Raw genomic sequence first — 5,834 nt, forward strand, 5'->3', positions numbered from 1 at the left:
TTACCCATAGTCTGAAATTATAGCTGAACCCTGCAAACCAACTCTGATGAGCCTGGAAGTCCAGTTTCACAATAAACAAAGATGAAACTAAGTTAAATCTCTTGAAAGCTAATAGAAAACTGTCAAGTACTGTTTAATAATATAAATTGAAAATCACCAGTTACTAAGATAAATTCCTAAGACTGATTTTATTTCTTTACACACAGGGTTCAAAGCTTTTGTAATTTAATGGTCAGATAAACCTTTATTAAAAAAAAAACACAGGATACATTATCTGAAATTCAAAATACTGAGCTAATAGATTCCCAACAGTTCACAGCACAGAACATCAAATAAGATGGTAAACATCTTGGCTATAATTAAAAGTGGATACATTAGACTCTTTAACTATTGGAAATGAAACTTGCTTTCAATTCTATGCATTTATGGGATGTTTGGAAAAAATCCTCTGCAATTTATTTGTTTTGTATCAACAATAGTTTCAAACTTATTTAAAGTTAACATTGGCCATGACTTCATCAAGCCCATGTCACAGATGCTCATTCCCTAACCAGTCAAAAGGAGTAGTTGTTGCTAACACAAGGACTGGGGTTAGTTAGAGATGTATTTTTTTTTCTTTTAAGACTAAAACTGAAACTCTCTCCTGTCTACTTCCATTTCGCATTCCACCATGGTTGTAAGTTTCCTGAGGCCTCTGTAGAAGCAGAAAACTGCATAGCCCCAAGAACCATGAGCTGGTTAAACCTCTTTTCTTTATAAATTACCCAGTCTCAGGTATGTCTTTATAGCAGTATGAGAAGAAAACTAATACTGTAGACATTTCCTAAAACTCTTAAAATTTAAAGAGCAAGTCAGTATACATGCATGCTGAATCTAGTAGTCATTTTTTTTCATAGCACTTATCATTTGACATACTATATATTTTATTTGTCCATTTTTTGTTCTCTCCACTCAAAGTTAAGTCTTCACTGAGGGAAGGATCTTAATTGACTACTATATCTGCAGAATTTAGAACAATGATGGATATGTGGCAGCCAGTTAATAAATATTTGTTGAATGAATAAATAAACTGATCTTTAAGTTGTCTTCAATTTGTTAAAGATATTTTTGTTCATTTAAGTTCCCGTCTGAATGGAGAAGAAAAGTCACCTGAGCCTGGTTGGTTTTAGTAATGACAAATTTCCTTTTGGGCTTCTACTTTATTTGTTTCTGTTGCTCTGTCAAGAATTAGACTTTAAAAAAAATTGAAAAAAGGCTTTATATCAAAACATACTTTTTAAAAACAATTTCAGACTCCTGACCTCAGGTGATCCGTCAGCCTCAGCCTTCAACCAACATAGTGAAACCCCGTCTCTACTAAAAATACAAAAATTAGCTAGGCATGATGCTGTGTGCCTGTAGTCCCAGCTACTCAGGAGGCTGAGCCAGGAGAATCGCTTAAACTCAGGAGGTAGAGGTTGCAGTGAGCCAAGATTGCGCCACTGCACTCCAGCCTCAGTGGCAGGGCGAGACTCTATCTCAAAAAATAAGTAAATAAAAATAAAAATAAATAAATAAATAATACAAAAATAAAAACGATTTCCACTTTTATTTTAGATTCAGGGGTTACATGTGCAGATTTTTTACATGGTTATATTGCATGATGCTGAGGTTTGAGATATGAATTTCTCACCCAAGTAGTGAGCATAGTACCCAATAGCTAGTTTTTCAACCCATACCTTCCTTCCTCCCTTCCCCCTTCTACAGTGCCTGTTGTTCCAATTTTTATATCTACGTGCACTCAATGTTTAGCTCCCACTTATAAGTAAGAACATACAGTATTTGGTTTTCTGTTCCTGCATTAATTCGATTAGGATTATGACCTCCAGCTGCATGCATGTTGCTGCAAAGGATATGATTTCATTCTTTTTTATGGCTATGTGATATTCCATGGCATATATGTACCACATTTTCTTTATCCAGTCCACTGTTGAAGGGCACCCCAGTTGATTCCATGTCCTTGTTATTGTGAATAGCACTGCGATGAACATATGAGTGCATGTAACTTCCAGAATCTTTAAGGAACTTAAATCGATACGCAAAAAAACAACCCCATTAAAAGGTGGGTAAAGGATGTGAACAGACACTTCTCCAAAGAAGCCATTCAAGCGGCCAAGAAACATATTTAAAAAATGCTCATAATCAGTAATTACTAGACAAATGCAAAGCAAAACCACAATGAGATACCACGAGATTGCACATCAGTCAAAATGGCTATTATTAAAAAGTCAAAAAATAACAGATGCTGGCGGGGCTGCAGAGAAAAGAGAACACTTATACATAGTTGGTAGGAATGTAAATTAGTTCTGCCACTGTGGAAATCAGCTTGGAGATTTCTCAACTAATTTAAAACAGAACTACCACTTAGCCCAGCAATCCCATTACTGAGTATCTATCCAAAGGAAAATAAATCATTCTACCAAAGAGAATGAGCTTTTTAAAGAGTTTCTCATCTCTCAATCTAACTAGAAATCCTGTTAACATCCAGTGAATATAATAACATGTGCCCGGAGCTACACATGTTGGCTGGTTGACTGTGAATTATGGTCATTTTTGCACTGCCTCGTTCACTGCTGGCCTCCAGAAGCCTAAATGTTGATCCATGTACTTTGAGGAATTACAGACTTGAAGATGAAGATTCTGTAGTGTGTGAAGCATAGAAAGAGTGTAGTGCTAATAATTACACTGCTCATTCTAGACTAGTTTCTTGTAGCAAATCAGGATAAGAGTTAGTATTCACCATTTTGTGAATGCTAGTTCCCAAAGGTAAAGATTCAAGTGATTTTAACAGTGGCAAAATTGAAAAAAAGCTCAAGTCCTATTTCTTCGTTTTTATAATGATGTATAATATCATATGCTAATATATAATCTATACAATTTTAATTAATCTATTTCTTCATCCATAATAAGGACTTTTGTATTTATAAGTATAATATCATTGACAGGTATATATAGGGCTAGAAGTGTTGGAAATACAGTTTGTACCCAAAGCAAGCTTGAAAACTTCTGAACCATCACAAACAGATTCTTGAATAGAGTTTGTGTCCTGGGGTCTGTGGAGTCTGGAACTGATTGCCCAACTAGGAGTTCTCTGCATTAATTTCTGTGTAAAATACAAGATTTATGAAAGTATAAGTAATAAAATATGCTAATTTGAAGCTTAAAATATATTATTGAAACTCAGCAGTAACCAAAGCAACTTAGAAATGAAATCAATAAATAATTTTTTCTAAGAGAAGTACTTTATTACCGACATTTAAAATATTTCTGGTGGATAGTGATAAGAAAACAAGATAGACCTTTACTTAGTTTTCTTATTGCTTTTAAAGTTTTTACAGACCATGTGTACTCTTAAGTCTGTACTTGGAGTAGACTGCTCCCACCACTCTGACTTCCTCCGCCACCACTGACTAAGTACTCATCTTATGATTAGCAAAAATGAAGGCATTTTTTAAAAGTGAACAGGGTCAAAATAGCCAACAGGGGAATATTAATGGTGGTCACTGAGCTTAAGAAGTCACTTAAGCTACCTGGAATCACTAAAATTACTGATATGATTCTGATATTTACAAAGAATCCACATCTCTCCTATGGAGAATTGATTGATTGGTCCCAAGTAAAAGAAGCAGAGAGAATGGGATGCTTCTCAACTCTTCATATCATCCCTCTTCTCTTCCAAGAAGTGCTTGCTTTGAGTTTTTATTTATATTTAAAATTTAAAACAATGAAATAATATAAACTGAGAGATGCATGTTTTTGTTCTGAAAATGCAAATTTTGGTTCATACATGAAATACTTTTAATGAATTTGAACAATATTTAAATAGAATTAAAACCTGGTATGTATATATTGCTTCTATCATAGAGCTCTCTTTACTTGCAGGGGGCAAATCTTGATTCTTTTAAGCAAATGAAGGTCATGCCATTTCCTTTTCTAGTGCTTGTTTTAGAAATAAGCACATAATGCAATTCTAGCCAATGTCACTTGAAAGTCTGACGGAGGTACCAGGAAAAATTCCTCTTTTTTTTTTTTTGGTGGGAGATAGGGGAATATACTATCTTCTAGTCCTTTAGTTCCTTTTGGGAATGTCATAATTAGTTTGTGCAGACTTCTTGAGGGTATGGTATATTAGTATGATAGAGCTATTTGGATATCAGCCCAAAGGATTGGTAGTTTAGCAATACAGGGGGAAGAAAAAAGAATCTTTGGTAGCATCCTTGGACCACTGAATCAACCTTCCCTGGGACTTCTCTACCTCTGGGCTTTGGGTTATATTTGGACCATCTGGAGTTAGTTCTTCTGTTTTAGTCTAAAGCATCCTAAATGAGATGTTTCTTATGCTTCTAAATATACTCTTTTTAACCATGTTCCATTTTGTGTGGACATTGTAAGGGTAATATATACAGACTTAAAAAGAATATGCCTATGAATTAGGAAGCTTTAAGCAATGGAAACCATTTTTCATTCACTGCCATTCCACTATGGTAGCAATTCTTCCTATGGTAATTCTGTTTGTTACTTCTCAGTAATAGGAAGAATCATCAGTACAATTGTGTAAGGTACTTTTAATGAATACATATCTATATTCTCAAACCGTATGGCAACTTCTGGAATGCTTTAGATTTCCATCCCACCTTCATAATCTCTTAAAGAGTCTCCTGTGCCTTACTCACTCAACCTTACAGTAGGTATTCATAGTCTGGTAACACTTTTCTTCTAATTGATCCAATGTGGTTTGGTGGTCACAGTTATTTATAATAGTGGTAATCCTCATACTACAAGAGTAGGCAATATTGTATTTAACTACCTCACTATTGAGAAATCCTTAATATAGGGCCATCAACTTTAGTTGTGAAATTCCTGTGTCATGTGATATTACTGGGATCAATTCTCATAGGATGAGATCTAAGAATTAATAAGACTGAAAGGAAACATTTAGAATATGTAAATGACAGGTTTTTTGTCTTTGCAATTGTTAAGAAACTAAAACCAGATTTTATATCTATTTTGAAAGGCTGAAATGAGTTTTATATTATGACGTCTATTAACAATTCAAAGTGTCTATTTTAAAATCTTTAACAATTTCTTAAAAAATATCTTGTACTGAAGGATAAAAATGGCTCTGTTATTCATATATGATTAAGTACTGCATTTCTCACTTCAATAAGTGTAATTCCATATAATTTATTATATAAACCATCAGAATAATAGAATCCAGTTCTATTTGTGACATCTCTGCAGTTATCACAATGTATTTTGAAAACCCAAAGTAACAATGGGCATTTCCATTGAGTGTGTTTCTTTGCCCATAAAGGAAACAACCAAATTTACTTCTGGCAGAAACTCATTTGACACATTCTAACCAGAATATATTAAATCAATTGTTTGCTTCATGTGGGATGTTAAAATGACATCCCATTTTATCCTTCCATTTTCTTAACGTAATAATGAGCACATTCAATTCACAAACATTTCAATTTGGTTATGAGCTCACTTCCTCCATACTACTCCTACCACCTCCACTTCAAGTTTAGCATAATCACTCTCTTGATGATTTATGCAATTTCTAAACATTAGCAAACATAACTAACCAAATATAATGTATTAATAAGTCTTCAATTATTTTTAGAAAGAATTGCAATAGCGTTGGCATTGTCTTACAGAAATACACCTGATTTTAAAAGTAGATTTTTTTTCTGATTTACCAGACAAGAATATCCAAACACCAAACTGTGTAAATATTTCAAAACCATACATACAAAAGTATTACCTAATTTGTAGTGACTTATCAAGGC

General features: G+C 33.8%; 1 protein-coding gene across 2 annotated transcripts in view; it reads right to left on the reverse strand.

Annotated features, from left to right (window-relative positions):
* Positions 1–216: 216 nt before the first annotated feature.
* BET1 (Bet1 golgi vesicular membrane trafficking protein) overlaps positions 217–5,834 on the reverse strand; it is a 41,594-nt gene continuing 35,976 nt past the window's right edge. For both annotated transcript variants that reach the window (NR_133909.2, NR_133908.2), the window contains one exon: positions 217–3,142. The gene's annotated coding sequence lies outside the window, so the exon portion shown is untranslated. The remainder of the gene's footprint in view (positions 3,143–5,834) is intronic.

Source organism: Homo sapiens, chromosome 7 (genome assembly GCF_000001405.40).
Source record: "Homo sapiens chromosome 7, GRCh38.p14 Primary Assembly".
NCBI lineage: Eukaryota > Metazoa > Chordata > Mammalia > Primates > Hominidae > Homo > Homo sapiens.